We start from the raw sequence: 17,708 nt of genomic DNA, 5'->3' as shown, positions 1-17,708 counted from the left end.
AGATGACTATGTGATTTTTGTTTTTAATTCTGTTTATGTGGTGTGTCACGTTTATTGACTTGCGTTATCTTAAACCATCCCTGCATCCCTGGTAAGAAACTCACTTGATCATGGTGAATTATCTTTTGATATTTTGAATTTGGTTAGCTAGTATTTTGTTAAGGATTTTAGCATCTTTGTTCATCAGGGATGTTAGTCTGTAGTTTTCTTTTTTGGTTATATCCCTTCCTGGTTTTGGTATTACGGTGATACTGGTTTCATAGAATGATTTAGGGAGGGTTTCCTCTTTATCTTGTGGAATAGTTTCAATAGGATTGGTACCAATTATTCTTTGAATGTCTGGTAGAATTCTGTTGTGAATCTGTCTGGTCCTGGACTTTTTTGTTGGTAATTGTTGTATTACTCTTTCACCTGTGCTGCTTGTCATTGGTCTGTTCAGAGTATCTAATTTTTCTTGATTTAAGCTAGGAAGGTAGTATCTTTCCAGGAATTTATCCATCTCCTCTAGGTTTTCTAGTTTATGTGCATAAAGGTGTTCATAGTAGCCTTGAATGATCTTTTGTGCTTCTGTGGTGTCAGTTGTAATATCTCCCATTTTGTTTCTAACTGAGCTTGAATTTTCTCTCTTCTTTTCTTGGTTAATCTTGCTAATGGCCTATCAATTTTATTTATGTTTTCAAAGAACCAGCTTTTTGTTTTATTTATCTTTTGTATTTTTTTATTTCAATTTCATTTAGTTCTGCTCTGATCTTGATTATTTCCTTTCTTTTGCTGGGTTTGGATTTTGTTTGTTCTTGTTTCTCTAGTTCCTTGAGGTGTGACCTTAGATTGTCTGTCTGTGCTCTTTCAGACTTTTTGATGTAGGTGTTCAGGGCTATGAACTTTCCTCTTAGCACCACTTTTGCTGCATCCCAGAGGTTTTAATAGGTTGTGTCACAATTGTTATTCAGTTTGAAGATTTTTAAAATTTCCATCTTGATTTCATTTTTGACCCAATGATCATTCTGGAGTAGGTTATTTAATTTCCATCATTTTCATGGTTTTGAAGGTTCCTTTTGGAGTTGATTTCCAGTTTTATTCCACTGTAACCTGAGAAAGTACTTGATATCATTTCAATTTTCTTGAATTTATTGAGGTTTTGTGGCCTATCATATGATCTATCTCAGAGAAAGTTCTATGTGCTGTTGAATAGAATGTATATTCTGCAGTTGTTGGGTAGAATGTTCTGTAAATATCTGTTAAGTCCATTTGTTCCAGGGTATAGTTTAAACCCATTGTTTCTTTGACTGTCTTGATGACCTGTCTAGTGCTGTCAGTGGAGTATTGAAGTCCCCCACTATTAACGTATTGCTATCTCATTTCTTAGGTCTATTAGTAATTGTTTTATAAATTTGGGAGCTCCAGAGTTAGGTGCATATATATTTAGGATTGTGATATTTTCCTGTTGGACAAGGCCTTTTATCATTATATAATGATGCTGTTTGTCTTTTTTTAACTGCAGTTGCTTTAAAGTTTGTTTTGCCTCATAAGAATAGCTACTATTGTTGCTTTTGGTCTCCATTTGCATAGAATGTCTCCTTCCATCCCTTTACCTTAAGTTTATGTGACTCCTTATGTGTTAGGTGTGCCTCTTGAAGGCAGCAGATAGTTGGTTGGTGAATTCTTATCCATTCTGCAATTCTGGTATCTTTTAAGTAAAGCATTTAGGTAATTTACATTCAATGTTAGTATTGAGATGTGAGGTACCATTGCATTCATCCTATTTGGTGACTATATACCTTGGTTTTTGGGGGGCTTTTTTATTGTATTTTTGTTTTGTAGGTCCTGTGAGATTTATGCTTTAAACAGGTTCTGTTTTGATGTGTTTCCAGGATTTGTTTCAAGATTTAGAGCTCCCTTTAGCAATTCTTCTCATGATGGATTGGTAGTGGCAAACTTTCTCAGCATTTGTCTGAAAAAGACTATCTTTCCTTCACTTATGAAATTCGTTTCACTGGGTACAAAATTCTTGGCTAATTGTTTTGTTTAAGGAGGCTGAAAATAGGGCCCCAATCCCTTCTAGCTTGTAGGGTTTCTGCTGAGAAATCTGCTGTTAACCTGATAGGTTTTCCTTTATAGGTTTCCTGGTGTTTTTGCCTCATAACTCTTAAGATTCTTTCCTTCTTCTTAACTTTAGAAAACCTGATGGCCATGTGCCTAGGCAATGACCTTTTTGTGATGAATTTTCCAGGTGTTCCTCTAGTGTCTTGTATTCGGATGTCTAGTTCTCTTTCAAGGCCAGGGAAGTTTTCCTCGAATATTCCCCCAAATATATTTCCCAAACTGTTAGATTTCTCTTTAAGAATGCTGATTATTCTCAGGTTTGGTCATTTAACATAATCTCAGACTTCTTGGAGGCTTTGTTCGTATTTTCTTATCCTTTTTTGTCTTTGTTGGATTCGGTTAATTCAAAAACCTTGTCTTTGAGCTCTGAAGTTCTTCTGCTTGTTTGATTCTATTACTGAGACTTTCCAGAGCATTTTGCATTTCTATAAGTGCATCCATTGTTTCCTGAAGTTTTCATTATTTATGCTATTTCATTGAATATTCCTCCCTTCACTTCTTATATCATTTTTTTTTAATTTCCTTACATTGGGTTTCACCTTTCTCTGGTGCCTCCCTGATTGGCTTAATAACAAACCTTCTGAATTCTGTTTCAGTTAGATCAGGGGTTTCTTCTTGGTTTGGATCCATTGCTGGAGAGCTAGTGTGATTTTTTTGGGGATGTTAAAGAACCTTGTTTTGTCATGTTACCAGAGTTGGTTTTCTGGTTCCTTCTCATTTGGGTAGGCTATCAGGGGGACAGTCTAGGGCTCAAGGCTGTTGTTCAGTTCTTCTGTCCCATGAGGTATTTCTTTGATGTAGTACTCTCCCCCTTTTCCTAGGGATGTGGCTACCTGAGAGCTGAACTGTCTAGCTGTCGTGGTTGTTAATCTCTTTTCTGGATCTAGCCACCCAGCAAATCTACCAGGCTCCAGACTGGTACTGGAGGTTGTCTGCACAGAGTCCTGTGATGTGAACCATCTGTGGGTCTCTCAGTCTTGGATACTGGCACCCACTCCAATGGAGGTGGCAGGGGTGTGAAATGGACTCTGTGAGGGTCCTTAGCTTTGGTTGATTAATGCACTATTTTCGTGCTGGTTGGCCTTCTGCCAGGGAGGTGGCTCTTTCAAGACAGCATCAGCTGTGGTAGTATGGGGAGGAAGAGGCAGTGGGCAGGGCCCTAGAACTTCTAAAAGTATATGCCCTTTGTCTTCAGCTACCAGGGTGGGTAGGGAAGGACCATTAGGTGGGGGCAGGGCTAGGCATGTCTGAGCTCAGACTCTCCTTGAGCAGGTCTTGCTGCAGCTGCCGTGGGGGATGGGAGTGAGGTTCCCAGGTTAATGGAGTTAAGTTCCTAGGAGGATTATGGCTGCCTCTGCTGAGTCATCCAGGTTTTCAGGGAAGTGGGGGAAAGCCGGCAGTCACAGGCCTCACCCAGCTGTCATGCAAACCAAAGGGCCGGTCTCACTCTCACCGAGCCCCGCCAAAAGCCCCAAGTCTGTTTCCAGGTGGAGGGCGAGCGGGCTTGAGAACTTGCCTAGGCTACCCGCCTTCCAGCTGCGAAAGAAAAGGACTTGGTTTGTCCCCTGCCTGTGGAGTCTGCACACCGGATTCGTGCCCTCCTCCGAGTGTTAATGCTTCCTGCCACCTCACTAACTCAGATCAAGTGACAACTTTTGTTGGTCATTTTCTAGCAGGAAAAAAGATTCTCCAAAATTTTCTGCCCTGATCTAATTTCTTAAAAAGTCTTTCATAATGTTTTCTCTAAATTTTAAATATAATCATAATTAAGTACAAGTTTTGCAATACATATCTAATGAGAAGATTAGAATTCTTCTTGGAGGATAACATTTTGCTTTATTGGGGTCCAAAGTCTTCCCTATTACTAAGGCAAAAATGTAGCCTATAAATGAATGATCCAGACAAAGCTTCCCTTGGGTTTCAGAATGATACAGCTAGAGGGGACTTTATAGAGCAAATATTTTAACCCTCTTTTACTGATGAAGAAAATGAAGCCTGGATTCCCAAAAACATCTGCTCTCATTTCAGTGTCTCCCAGCCATGTAGGGAAGAGAACATAAGTCTTGAGACGTGTGGTTCCATTGTGCCTCTTCTTAGAAGGCTTAATGATGCACTAAGACTTTAGAATCAGCAACTCTGCATAGCAGCAATTTGAGTGCTGCAACCAACCAAACGACGACTCACTTTTGTAAACTGGTCTGAACCAAATTCCTGAACTTCCAGGCATTGCCCACATCCTGCCTCCCGATGATCTTGCCCACCTCAGTGAACTGCCACCCCGCCCCTCCAGTTGCTCAGGCCAGGAATCTGCCTCATCCTTCACTTTCTTTCAGACACCCTGCATTCAGCAAATCCTCCTAGCTCTACCTGTAAAATGTATTGAGAATCTGCCCTCCTCTTCACTACCTTCACCTCTGTGACCTAGGTCCCAGCCACTTCTAGGATATTGCAACAGCTTCCTAAAGGGTCTTCCTGCCTCACCACTGTCCCTGGAGAGTGCAGTTTCCATCCATCATCCAAATGATCCTTTTAAAATTATGTCTCTTACATCTTAGATCAAAAGTTGGCAATGATTGGTCATCTCAGAGTAAAAGCTGACCACCTTGCTGTAGCCACCCAGGCCCCTTATTACCTCCCCAACCTCATCTCCTACCATGCTCTTCCCGCTCAGACATTCCAAATATTCTCCTGTCTCAGGGCCTTTGCACTTACTGTTCCATCTGGAACACTTTACTCCCAGACACCCGCATGGTTCATCCCTTTTCTCCTCTAGGTCTGTGCTCAAATGTCACCACCACTCTCCTGTCCATTCCCACTCCACACACAATAACGCCTATCCTCCTTTTAGGCTTTTTCTCCATAGTAATTACCACATCTATAATACTATATAACTTATTTATTCATTTATTTTTTTTCCATTAAAATGTAAGCTCTGTGAAGGCATGGATTTGGGTCTTTGTTTCCACGGCTAGAAACCAGATCTGGCACATCACATGCCCTCACTAAGTATGTGTTGAAAAAATGTAAAATATTATGGTGGGCAACACTATGTCTCCCTCAATCCCCACATCCCAAATATACTGGTGCTACTTTTAAACCTCACCTCTAAAGCCCCACGGCCAATAGATGATGAAATATCACATTATACTCTGCTAACTTGTCCTTATCAACAGGTGTTTGAATGTGGTTTGAGAACAATTTTTAATAAACTATTTCATCCTTTAATAGATACAGTGAACAAATGCAAAGTGTCATAACACATCAGACTTTTATTTGCATTGAAAAATCAAATTGGCAGCTGTGCAATAATAAAAACTTAAGATTATGAGTTGCACAAGGAACAAATAAAGCCTGATCAGTTGGGTTCAGAATTCTCTTGCCTTTCAATACCAGCTATCCATTCCCACACTAATAGTTCTTCCAGACTGTGCTCCTAGAATAGGAAATATTACCCCCAGCCATCTACATTGCCTTAAGAAACCACCCATCATAATCTGCAAAGCCTCTGGTTTTAGACTACTTTGCTCTTCTCTTACCCTGGCTCAATAATTCTTAACCAGAGATGAAATATCAGTTGACTGAGAAGCCCACACATAGTACATATTGCTGGCCCCCATCCTGAGAGATTCTGATTCATGGGCCTAGAGGGGGAGTAGGGGAGAGCAGATATGTAACAGCTGTATTTTAGCAAAACTCCCTGGTGATTTTGAGATGTTCCTCTGGTTCAGAACCACTGTTCTAGTTGATATGTATGCTAAATATCATTGCTATGTGAGTCATTTTAATTGATGAGGGGGAGGACCTAGGAGGAACCCTCAATACTCAAGGACAGAGGAGCCACAAGTTTTCCAAAACTCACATCTCCCAATTGAAAAAAGACACAGGGGCCAGCTGACCTTAACTGGAATAATTCCCTGGTCCACATGGTGATAGGAAGAATGGGATTTCTGCAATTTACTTAAGCCTTAGCATAACTTTTTTTTTTTTTTAAGACAGTCTTGCTCTGTCACCCAGGCTGGAGTGCAGTGGCATGATCTCGACTCACTGCAAGCTCCACCTCCAGGGTTCACGCCATTCTCCTGCCTCAGCCTCCCGAGTAGCTGGGACTACAGGCGCCCACCACCACGCCTGACTAATTTTTTTGTACTTTTAGTAGAGACAGGGTTTCACCGTGTTGGCCAGGATGGTCTCGATCTCCTGACCTCGTGATCCGCCCGCCTCAGCCTCCCAAAGTGCTGGGATTACAAGCGTGAGCCACCACGCCTGGCCAGCATAACATTTTTAACTAGGTAGAAAATGTCCATTTCCTTTCTCCCAAGACTTCTGCCACACTTTGTGATAATAAAATCTACCAGTCCTCTACAATCCAAGTCAGCCTTTGTCTTTCTCCTTAGTTATCCCAGTTCCCAAAAAGTAGGAGGCACAGTTCCTGAAAAGAGGGTTCTGATGTGGGATGTGCGAGTGAGGAATATTTAACTAGGGCAGTACACAGCAGCAAGAATCGGAGAGCTACACAGTCCATGGGGTCAGGGGGGGCTTCCTAGAAGTGACATTTTAACCTGTACTTGATGGATATGGAGGAGTTAGCCAAGGAATGAGGAGCAGAAAGGAATGTTGCAGGCACATGACGCAGCATGTGAAAAAAAAAACAGGAATAAATCCAGTCTGGATGGGGCAGAGACTTTAAGGAGAGCAGAAGAGAATATAAGGGCCCGATCATCACAGGCCTTCCAATCCATGCTAAGGAAACTGGACTTTATTTTAATGTTGAAGAGAAGCCACTGGAGGGTTTTTGAATGAGGGAGGGACTTAAGCTTTGCATTTTAGGAAAAGGCAGTCTAGCTGTCCTGGGTAGCAATGATTACAAAGGAGCAAGGCTGCATGCAAGGAGACTGGGTAGGAGGATGCCACTGCATTTATTCAAGTGAGAAGAGGTTTAGAATCACTTCTTTTGCTGCTTCCCCACTATAATATGAGAGACAGCATCAGAATCACTGAAACCAGAATGATTGAAGGTTTGAGGACCTGAAAGTTCTTTTTATCCTTCATACAGCAATATTTTTTAAAGTTTATTTAGCACCTATTATCTTTTATATCTATATTGTTCAATACAGTAGCCACTAGCCACATGTGATGATTGAGCACTTGAAAGGTGGCTAGCCTTATTTGAGCATGCTTTAAATGTAAAATTCATACCAAATTTTGGAAACTTAGAAAAATGTAAAATATCTCAATAATTTGAATATTGATTACACATAAAAATGATAGTATTTTGAATATATTGGGCTAAATAAAATATATTAAAGTTGATTCCACCTGTTCTTTCACTGTTTGAAATGTGGCTACTAGAAAATTCTAAATTGCATATGTGACTCCTACCTATGGTTGGATTCTATGTCTATTGGGCAGAGCTGTTCTAGGTACTGTGCTCAGCACTGAGAATACAGCAGAGAGCAAAACAAAGCCCCTGCTCTTATAAGAGCTTAATTCCCAGTGGAACATAATCCCAAATCAATCTAAAAAAATCTAAATAGGCCCATTATTTATTATCTATATAATCACCCACTTATAACCATCATACAACATTGTACCCAAGTTTGTATCACAATCACATTGGCACCAAGGAGTTCTTCAGAGATCGACATAACTCATCAATAACATTTTTGCATATGATGGGAGCCAAAGGACTTCACAGACAAACAAAGGTCTTGCAGTAGAAAACTGTACAAGGTTAACCGAGTCATCCTATCACATGTGAAGTGGAGGTCCTGCATCCAAAGAGCCTGTAGTGCCAACGCCATCGATGTATTGCAAGGTGTGGCTGTTTCAGCAAAGCAACAGCATCTATCACATTAAATCAGTACTACTAACTTGAATTTTATTGTTATTGTCATTTGCATATGTTTTTGTTAAATTTAGTTTTATAATTCATAAAGATAAAGATTTATAATTAATGTTTCGTTTGAGCCTTAAGTAGTAATACTATAATAAGAATAAATTTTATACTGGAGATATGCTGTAATATTTTTCCCTTAGAAGGGATCCTTATATTACTCAAGTTTTAGAAATCTTGCCCTGGGGATCATGGTGTTCATCCTATCCACTGAACCACCTCTACCCTCCACCATTCCCACTCCACAACTCAAGGCTTCCCAGTAGCTCACAGCTTGCCACTTGTCAGCAGCACTTGACGGCCCACTGAACAACTGGCCTCTCTCTTCTGTCCTAGAAGAAGGTCCATGATAATTCAGGGGCCTATCTTCAAGCCAACAATGGTTCTCAGGGAGAAGAACATACACCCAGGAGTGACATACAGAACATTCAAGGACTGGTATGCTGCAGGCACTGCCCAGTCACAATGGATGCCACCTATAAGGAACAAGTTCAGCTGTGCCACTGTGTTCCAGCTGACCACCTCCCTGCATGCCCCCACCCCCACCCTCATCCCACCCTGGACCTTGTTTCTCAGACAAGGGAGGGCTCCCAGGAGCCCCCAGTTGTCTTGCCTGACACCAGACACCTCAATTGTCTGAAGGGCTGCCTTGGAGTATTCGTCTCTCTGTATCACTCCCATTTATGATTCCTAGGCCTGCATAATGGAGTGGGGTAGAGGGGCATAAATCCTGCTAGGTTGAAAGACAGCAGAGCATAATGGTTAAAATTATATACTTTGCAACCAGTCAGCCTGGGTTTGGGTCTTAGCTCCCGTAACAGGCTGGCATGGCCTTGGGCAGGTTCTCTGTACCTCCATTTCCTCTTCTGTGAAATGAGCATAATACTGAATCTTCAGTTGAGTTTATGAGGATAATTAAAATATTGTCCAGAATGCTTTTGGGACAATACTTAGCACTTTTTAACAGTTACTATTATTGGGAAGTTCAAGGATGTCTTTCTCTCCCACAATGGAAATAAAATGTGGAATTAAAATAGTCTAAATCCTGCAGTAACCCTGTCTCCCCTGACTTTAGATTTGTATCTCCTGCTGCCTTTCATTAGGGAGGACTTCATCTCTAACGTTGGAGTTAGTCCACACAGCCTTCCCTTCCCTCACTTATAACCACCGTGGGTTTCTTGGCAGAAAAATAGACTTGGGGGCCCCTATAGGGAAAGATGCATTTGGCAGAGAAATAAGAGAATTGCTTTGGTGCAAACCAATATGTCACCTGCAAATCCACACATTTGCGGTCTTATCAATGGAACTCCAGAATTCCACAGCTCAGTTTCTAAGGAAAGAGTGTCATACCTAGGTGTTTCTAGGTATGAAATGTTTGGGACCCCTGCTGACTTCAGCCATTTTCAGACATCATATTCCTGGAAGGCGGGAGTTGGATATCACACCTAAGGCACCCAAAGCATTGAGCAGAACAGATTTTACCTCCTGGTGTGTCATGTTCAGAATCCAGAATCACTGACTCAAAATACTAAGGAAGTGTGGTCCTCTAAAGCAGTAGCTCTCACATTTTCATGGGTATTCAAAATCACCCAGGGAACCAAACAAAAATATGAAAGACCCAGTCCATATCCTACTTCAGTGAACCCAGGCCTTCATGCACTTTACCAGTTCAAGTGTTTCCTGGTAGGCACCAAAATGTGAGAACCAGTGGTTCTAAAGCAAAGAAACCTCAACAGCCCCTACCATGCTATACTCTAACACTTTGCAAATGTCTTCCCTGAATACCCCTTAATCCCAAGTCTTCCTTTCTATACTTTAATAAAATTAATAAAGACATAAAAGTACTAACCATGTTTAAGTAATGCTGTCTATGCACACAGTGGCATTTTGAAAAGGTATTTGCATAAGTTTATTTTAGACTTGGGGATTCTTACAGCTTTTATGTTGTCTCACCATTGCTGATAGAATACTTTAAAATTATGATGTGAAGACATTTAATTAATTTTTAATTGAAATGACTCCAGGAAGAAAATTATAAATAGCACATTTGTCTTCACTGTTTTCATTATAAGGCACAGAAAGTGATGGATGAACAAAAAACACAGCAAAACTCTCACACAGAGAGTGTAGTCACCAAAAACAGAAATATAAGACTTTCTGGAGTAATGGTCCAGTTCAATCATTCCCAACAAGTGAGTCCAGAATTCTAGAGATGAATCACCTGGATTCTAGTAAGCATCTTTTAAATATCAGAAATGACCAAAAGAACACCCTTTCAGACACTATGACTGATTTGATCTAAAAAGGTTCCAACTCAATGGAAGGCAATATTCTGACATTTTGTTCTTTGCCTTGGAGTGCAAACTTTTACCACAGCACAGTGTTGTGGAAGGTTGTGTGGTGCCCAGGAGGCAAGACTGTATAGAGCAGGAAGTAGAGAACCCGCGCCCAGTAGGCTTGGTTTGGAATACTGGCCCCACCATGAATTTGCCACCATGTTATTCTGGCTATTCAGCAACCAAATCTAGAAGTTGCCCTGCATTCCTCTCATCCTCTCACACTCCACAACCAATCCAACAACAAATCACATTAGCTGTACCGTGAAAATATATCCAGCATCCAATTATTTTTACACTCCACTACCATCAAGATTCTTGCTACCATCATCCCTCACCTGGATGATTATACAATAGCTTCCAAATGATTCTCCCTGCTATTAAAAATAAGTCAGATCATGGTGTGCTTCTGCTCACAGATGTTCATTTTACTCAGTTAAAGCCCAAGCCCCTACCCTGACCGACGGAGCCCTGTGGGTTCTCCAGCTCAACCCACACATCTCCTCCTTCCTCCCTGCACTCCAGCCTCAGGGCCTGTTTGCCACTCCTCAAGCCCACCACTCTCATCCAGGGGCTCAGCACTTGCTGTTCACTCTTTTTGGAATTCCCCAGCCCCTATAGCTACATGGCTCACTTCCTGTCCTCCTCCAGTGACACTTCAAATGTCACTTTCTGAGTGATGTTTGTGGACTTTATACCTACTACAGTTACGTATATAGAGAAAATATCTGCAAGATATATAAGAAACTATCAACAGAAAACTCTAGAAGTTGGATCAGTTTGGGGACAGAGTAAGGGAAAAGACTTATTTTATACTCTTCAGTATACTTTGATATTTTTATAATAAAGTAATTAATAATAAGACTATGAAAATGCTAAGTGAGGAGGTACTCAGTCTAGTTCACAGAAACTTCGGTAACTCTAACAGTTCACGAGTATTATAGCTCATAAGGCTTATGTGTTTAATGCAATTTTTATAGGCTAGTCTGGCAAGGAATCTAGACATGGTGTATATTGTTTTCTTGAGGAAGAAAACCATTGCCTGCTCCAGCCTATTACGAGTGCCTTTGTCCTTCTCTTCCCTTCTGCTGCCTCTGCTTCTCTCCTCCCTGCCTTGTTGCTACTTACCTGAGTCACCTCAGGTGGTTCCTTCAAAACTTCAGCCAAGCCCCAGAAGTCTAGCTCCAGCCAGGTGTGTGGTGAGACAGCAATACAATGGCTCGAGGATCTTTCACCTTCCTCAAGGCATGAGACATAGACTAGCCAACTGCTCACATGTATGGGGCATTTGTGAGCCTGGTGTTCCCAAGTCCCAGCCTGGCAACCTGTGAGTGTCAGCAAGAGAGATGCCCTCTTTCTAGAAGGCAATGTTCTCAGCTTTGTGGTTAAAAAGTCCCATTGAGCAGCCCACAAACACTGGAGGCCAGGTACCCATCCTTCGGGTTTCAATGCAAAGCCAGAATTTACAGGGATATTCAAGGTTAGAACTGCAATTTTTCTTTCAGAAATTAATGTATAATTGAAGGCAGAAATGTGTAACAGAGCACTAAACTAGGACTGAGGAAACCTGGGTTCCCCCACTGACTGGCATATTGATTAAGTCACCTCATCTTGAATATAGGGAGTCGACGGGGTGATGGCTGATGAGGCCTTCAACCCTAATAACTGCTTTATCATCACTGTAATCCGTTGAGTTCTTACCATGTGTCAGATCCTTCATAGTTGTCACATAAGTTCCCTTATGAAGCCTTCATTATCACAAGAATCTAGCAAGGTAGGTATTCCAGAAGAAAACTCATCCCCAGGAATAGTTTTAAAACTTGATTAAGGTGATATTTGGCTGCTTGGCGGGTCTGGGACTCAAACCTATGCTTGTTCAATTTTCCTGCCCTGCCTCCTCTCTACATAGTATCCCTTGCACAGACAGCAGTCTGGAATCCTCACACTGCACAAGTCCCTGCCTACCAGGAGGCAACTCTCTGGGGCTGAATGGCATTTGTTCACTCATTCAACTGTTATCTATGCCTCAGTTGTTGAACACTGTCTAACAATGTCCCTCAATGAGTTTGGCCCTGCAGGTGCCATGTGAATCACTCTGGCCACTGCTAAAGGCTAGTGTCATAGCCTGCTCAGGTGGTTCACAAAGTTCAAAAGAGATAGCAGTTATTATTGGAATGGTAGTGCTTGGAGAGGGAGAGGAGTTAGGGCACAAGCCCTGCTCATCTGAACCCAGTGAGAGCTTCACAGAGTTCAGCCCCTGCATGCATTGGGTTCAGATGTCCCACAAGGAAACTGAGGGGGAAACAGTGTGCTGCACAATGTTCTTAGAGTCACAGGGGAAACCAAGCAAGAGAATGTAAGTGACATGACTCAAACCCCTCACCTCTATAAGGAAAAGCAACTTCAATGTCTTACATTGTCTGTAGATTCAGATCTCCTCAATCTGAGGCCAGACTGCTTCCACTGGCATCCAGGCATGGGACTTTAGGAAGGAACAGTTCCAGGATTTGGAGGAAAATGTATTGTTTCGGCATGTGTGGCTCCCAGTTTGCAGCCAAGATGGTCCAGCAAAGGGGAAAGACTATAACTTGAAACAAACATAGACTTCCCTACCATTGCAGCTGGAGGCTTTGAATAAAAGTACATGCCTAGAGAACACAGGAGTGTGCCAGACAGAACCCAGCTCACGGCCAGGGCCCAATGTGCATTTTGAGGATTGTTTTCCAATGAACAGTCTGTCTTCACAGATATTGAAAAACATTCAGTTAAACACAGTGAAATGGATTTGCACGTTCATTTGATTGTGGTCGTGAATTTGTTATTACTTCAGGAATTGTCAGGGCCTTCATTTGACCATGGTACCTCTTCTGCATTGAAGATCAGTGGGAATAGAATTTCAGGGATTTCTCTCTGGGAAACATTGTGTTCCACAGCATTCCAGTTTTAAAACAAGATTTGGCATTCTTTTTTGATAAAGATCCACATTTTAGGCTTTTCAGGACATGAGACAAAATCAAGGATATAATATAGGTACCTAGCTAGACAAGAGAGAAAAAAATATTCTACAAGTTGTTAAAATTCAAAAGCATTTTTAAAATTCTATAAAATTTTTACAAATATTCAAAAATTTTAAATAATCATAATTAAGTACAAGTTTTGCAATATACATCTACTAATGGGAAGACTATAATTCTCCTTGGGGGATAACATTTTGCTTTATTGGGGTTCAAAGTTAGTATTCCCTATTACTAAGGCAAAAATGTAGCCTATAAATGAATGATCCAGACAAAGCTTCCCTTGGGTTTCAGAATGAGACAGCTAGAGGGGACTTTATAGAGCAAATATTTTAACCCTCTTTTACTGATGAAGAAAATGAAGACTGGATTCCCAAAAACACCTGCTCTCATTTCAGTGTCTCCCAACCATGTAGGGAAGAGAACACAAGTCTTGAGACGTTTGGTTCCATTGTGCCTCTTCTTAGAATGCTCACACTTCCTCTGGGAGAGCCAAACTAGGGGCATATTTATCTTCTGGAATGTAGTACATACCTTTCAGCACTTAAAAAAACAAAAAGCACATCCAGAAAAGCCTCTTTTAAGAGACCATGTTCTGTTTGTTAATAAAACAGATGGAAGTGGCACCACATGACTTTGCCCCACAAAGGCACTGTTGCTCATTATTGCCATGTTGTTCTTATTCATGCACAAGACTGTGTGTCTCCACTGGATTGTATGTACCTCGAGGACAGAGTCAGCATCTTATTCATCTTTCTGTCGTCAGCACCTGGCACATAACAAAGGTTCAATAATTGTTTAAGCTCAATAAATCTTGAATTAGATAATGACTTCTTTTGCAAAAACCCTTTCAAATCCTTCACTTTCAATAAGTGTTGGTCACATGATCACTGTGCTTAAAACTCTCCATTGGCTTATGCTGTACTTGGAATGAAATCCTCACTCCTCATTCTGGCTCAAAGGCCCTTCTTGATCTGGCCCTGTCAACCTCTCCGACCTTGTCTATTTCCACTCTTTCCCACACCAGCCACACTGGCCCATTTTCCATTCACCAGATGCACTAAGTAGACCGCTGCTCTAGTGCTTACATTTCCACATGCCTCTTCTTGTGTTTCCCTGCCCACCCCCCATCATTCTCATTTATCACTATCCACATCTTCTTATGTATTTACGTTTTCTTCTGTATACATATGTGAGCTCCATAAGAAAACATTTCTTTGCTGTCTTGTTTACCACCATTTTCCTAGCCCTTTTGTTGATGTCTGGCACATTGTAGGTAGTCAATGCTTGTTGAATAAATAAATTCCTCCAGGATTACTCGGCCTTCTTTTCACTCTACTTATTTAATACAACAAATGTTTAATAAGTAAATCAAGAATGAATTAATCTTCCTTTTGGCTTCAGGATGGGATCTTGGCCTGGATCAAAAGTTTTATTTGGCTAGAATGTGGGGAGAAAGACATGGTGAGAAAATCAGAAAGAACCAAAGACAAACCTGATGGTGCCATTGTGTAAATGAAAAGTTACCTGGCTCTCCAATTTGTTTTCATCTTGCTTTATGTTGCTTTAAACCAATGCCCCCAAAATTACAGCCTCTCACTGGCTGGCACATAAATTTCTGACTTTAAAACCACTTTATTTCGAGTTTGATGAATAGCTTTTGTCACTAGGTAGAGTAATTAAGGGAGCGGTGTTGGCACTCGCCAGGCTGGGCTGACATTACTTTTTTTTCAGTGTTTTGTTACCTGTCTGTCGGATTTGGCAGAGCTCATAGAAAGGCTCAGGGCTGAGTTATGCACATCGTCTCCTGGCAGGAGCTTTGTCAGGAAGATATATCACCCTCCTCTACTGAGCAGCCTCTGTTTTCCAAGAACTGTAGCAGGCACACCTGGCACAGTGGCCAAGGCCCTCTCTTCATCTCCAGTGACAGTTTGGCTACCAAGTGAAAAGGACAGATATTTCCTAGTTGAGATCTTCATATGTCTTGAGTTCCCTACTATATTCAACTTATTCTCCACAGAGGATACTTTATTAATAATTCAATATAAATTTCAAAACAAATGCTTGAGAGCATTAGAATCGCCATCTTGTAGGAGTGAGGAAAAACAGCTCAAAGCACTTTGCAAAGCACAATCTTCACGGCACATTCCAAGAAATAGAGAACGAAAGGGAATCACAGGCCATTAAAGCTAGACTTTACCTAAAGATTCAACTGTAGCATTTTATGGATGATGAAGCTGAGTCTCAGAAGTGACTTTCTCATAGTCCCACAGTTAACCAATGGTAGTATCACTATGTATATATGATCATCTCTTGGTATCCATGGGGGATTGGCTCTAGGATCCCTCACAGATACCAACATCTGAGAATTCTCTGATTTTATATGTCTCTTGTATAAAATGGTGTAGTATTTGCACATAACCTATATTTATATTATTTATAATACCTAATACAATGCTTGCATATCACTTCACATGGATTCAACATAGCACAAGGCACACAGAAAATTAAAGCTTTGCTTTTTGGAATTTTGCAGAATTTTTAAAAAGTATTTTTGATCTGAAATTGGTTGAACCCATAGGTGTGGAGCCAACAGATACTGAGGGCCAACTGTACTTACTTGTTCATTCAGTGGTATTCAGCTGGCAACTGGGCTGGTCTTGAGAGACGAAGATGACCTCACTCAAAATACAAATTGTTTCAGACAATACAAAAAGACAATAGAAAAGAGGTCAGCATAACCTCTCTATCAAAACATGACAAAGACATTTCAAGACTACAGGCCAATCTCTCTCATGAAAATATATACAAGAAAACAGCAATATAGATATAGATATTAAACGATACTACACAATTACCAAATGGGGTTTACTCTAGGACTGCGAGGTTGGTTTAACATTTGAAAATTATAATTAACCACATTAACTAGTAAGAGAAAAAAATCATGATCATCTTAATTGATTCAGAAGAAGCATTTGATAAATGTTAACAGTCATTAATAATTTAAAAAACTTTTTTAAAAAATTTAATGTTATTTTAAGTTCCAGGGTACATGTGCAAGACGCACAGGTTTGTTACATAGGTAAATGTGTGCCACTGTGGTTTGCTGCACCTATCAACCCATCACCCAGGTATTAAGGCCCACATGCATTACCTGTTTATCCTAATGTTCTCCCTCTCCCCAGACCCCTCCCCAGCCCACACGCATGCACGCGTGCACACACACACACACGCCCCAGTGTGTGTTGTTCAGCTCCCACTTATAAGTGAGAACAGCATCCCACTTATAAGTTCCTGTGTTAGTTTGCTCAGGATAATGGTTTCTAGCTCCTCCATGTCCCAGCAAAGGACATGATCTCATTCCTCTTTATGGTTGCATAGTATTCCATGGTGTTTATGTAAAAACTCTTAGCAAAGTAGAAATAGAAGGGCTCTTGTTTAATCTGGTAAAAGGTATCTTTAAAAATAATATAATTGACTTCCTACTTAACTGTAGTATTTTAAATGCAAAAACTCTCCCCAGAAAACTATAAAACATTATTAGATATAGTAAATAAAAACTAAATAAATAAAGCAGGGATTGGCAAACTGCAGCCTACAGCCTGTTTTTTTTCCTGCCTGTGAGCTAAAAACGGTTTTTACATTTTTAAAGGGCTATAAAACAAAAAGAAAGAATAAGAATATGCAACAGCAACTGTATATAATCCTCAAATTCTAAAATATTTACAGTCTGACTCTACTAAGTTTGCCATCATTGAAATAGAATATATCATTTTCATTGATTAGAATACTAAATATTGTAAAGATGTCAGTTCTCTTCAAATTAATCTGCACATTCAATAATTCCAAATTCCTAACAGGTACTATTTTTGGAAATTTGCAAGCTGATTTTAAAATTTTTATTGAAATACAAAAAGCCAAGAATAGCTAAGACAATCTTTAAAATGAAGAACAAACTCTGAGGTCTTATACTACTAGATATCAAGACTTATTATAAAGCTATAGCAACAAAAACAAAATAGTATTGGTACCAAGTTAAACAGAGTAGAAAGTCTAAGAACTGACCTGCACATATAAAATTCATTTTCGATAAAAATGGGAAGGTACTATCTTTTCAATAAATGGCATTGGATCTATTAGATATTCATGTAAGAAAAATAACCTTGACTTCTATTTCACACAGACGTATGAATCAATTCCAAATAGATTATAAGCCTAAATGCAAAATAAAAATAAATCATCTAGAAGATAACATGAGAATATCTTCATGAACTTGGGGCAATCAAAGATTTCTTAAATAAGTTATAAAAAGCTGTCACCTTTTCATCTTATAGATGAAAAGATACATAAATTGACATGATT

The 17,708-nt window shown here is 40.3% G+C and overlaps 1 long non-coding RNA gene across 1 annotated transcript, besides 3 other annotated features; it reads right to left on the bottom strand.

The window, feature by feature from the left end:
- Positions 2,712-3,911: an enhancer, noted in NCBI's record as "MED14-independent group 3 enhancer chr3:158654234-158655433 (GRCh37/hg19 assembly coordinates)". NCBI's record gives its function as "activates an origin of replication core promoter dependent on BRD2, BRD4, P300/CBP and CDK7 cofactors, and independent of MED14, by STARR-seq in HCT116 cells {active_cell/tissue: HCT116}" and the evidence as "EXISTENCE:reporter gene assay evidence [ECO:0000049][PMID:35650434]".
- Positions 2,712-4,052: a biological region, named in NCBI's record as "MED14-independent group 3 enhancer GRCh37_chr3:158654234-158655433".
- Positions 3,471-4,052: an enhancer, noted in NCBI's record as "H3K27ac-H3K4me1 hESC enhancer chr3:158654093-158654674 (GRCh37/hg19 assembly coordinates)". NCBI's record gives its function as "activates a minimal SCP1, AML or CMV promoter by ChIP-STARR-seq in naive H9 embryonic stem cells {active_cell/tissue: H9 hESC(naive)}" and the evidence as "EXISTENCE:reporter gene assay evidence [ECO:0000049][PMID:30033119]".
- LOC124909452 (uncharacterized) lies at positions 4,996-16,414 on the bottom strand. Its single transcript, XR_007096143.1, has 2 exons — positions 15,967-16,414; positions 4,996-15,281 (listed from the first exon to the last, which is right to left on the bottom strand). It is a non-coding gene; the product is annotated as an uncharacterized LOC124909452 (long non-coding RNA).
- Between the last annotated feature and the right edge of the window lie 1,294 nt (positions 16,415-17,708).

The sequence above is a fragment of the Homo sapiens genome, chromosome 3, assembly GCF_000001405.40.
Source record: "Homo sapiens chromosome 3, GRCh38.p14 Primary Assembly".
NCBI lineage: Eukaryota > Metazoa > Chordata > Mammalia > Primates > Hominidae > Homo > Homo sapiens.
This window is presented reverse-complemented; position numbering and strand designations above follow the sequence as displayed.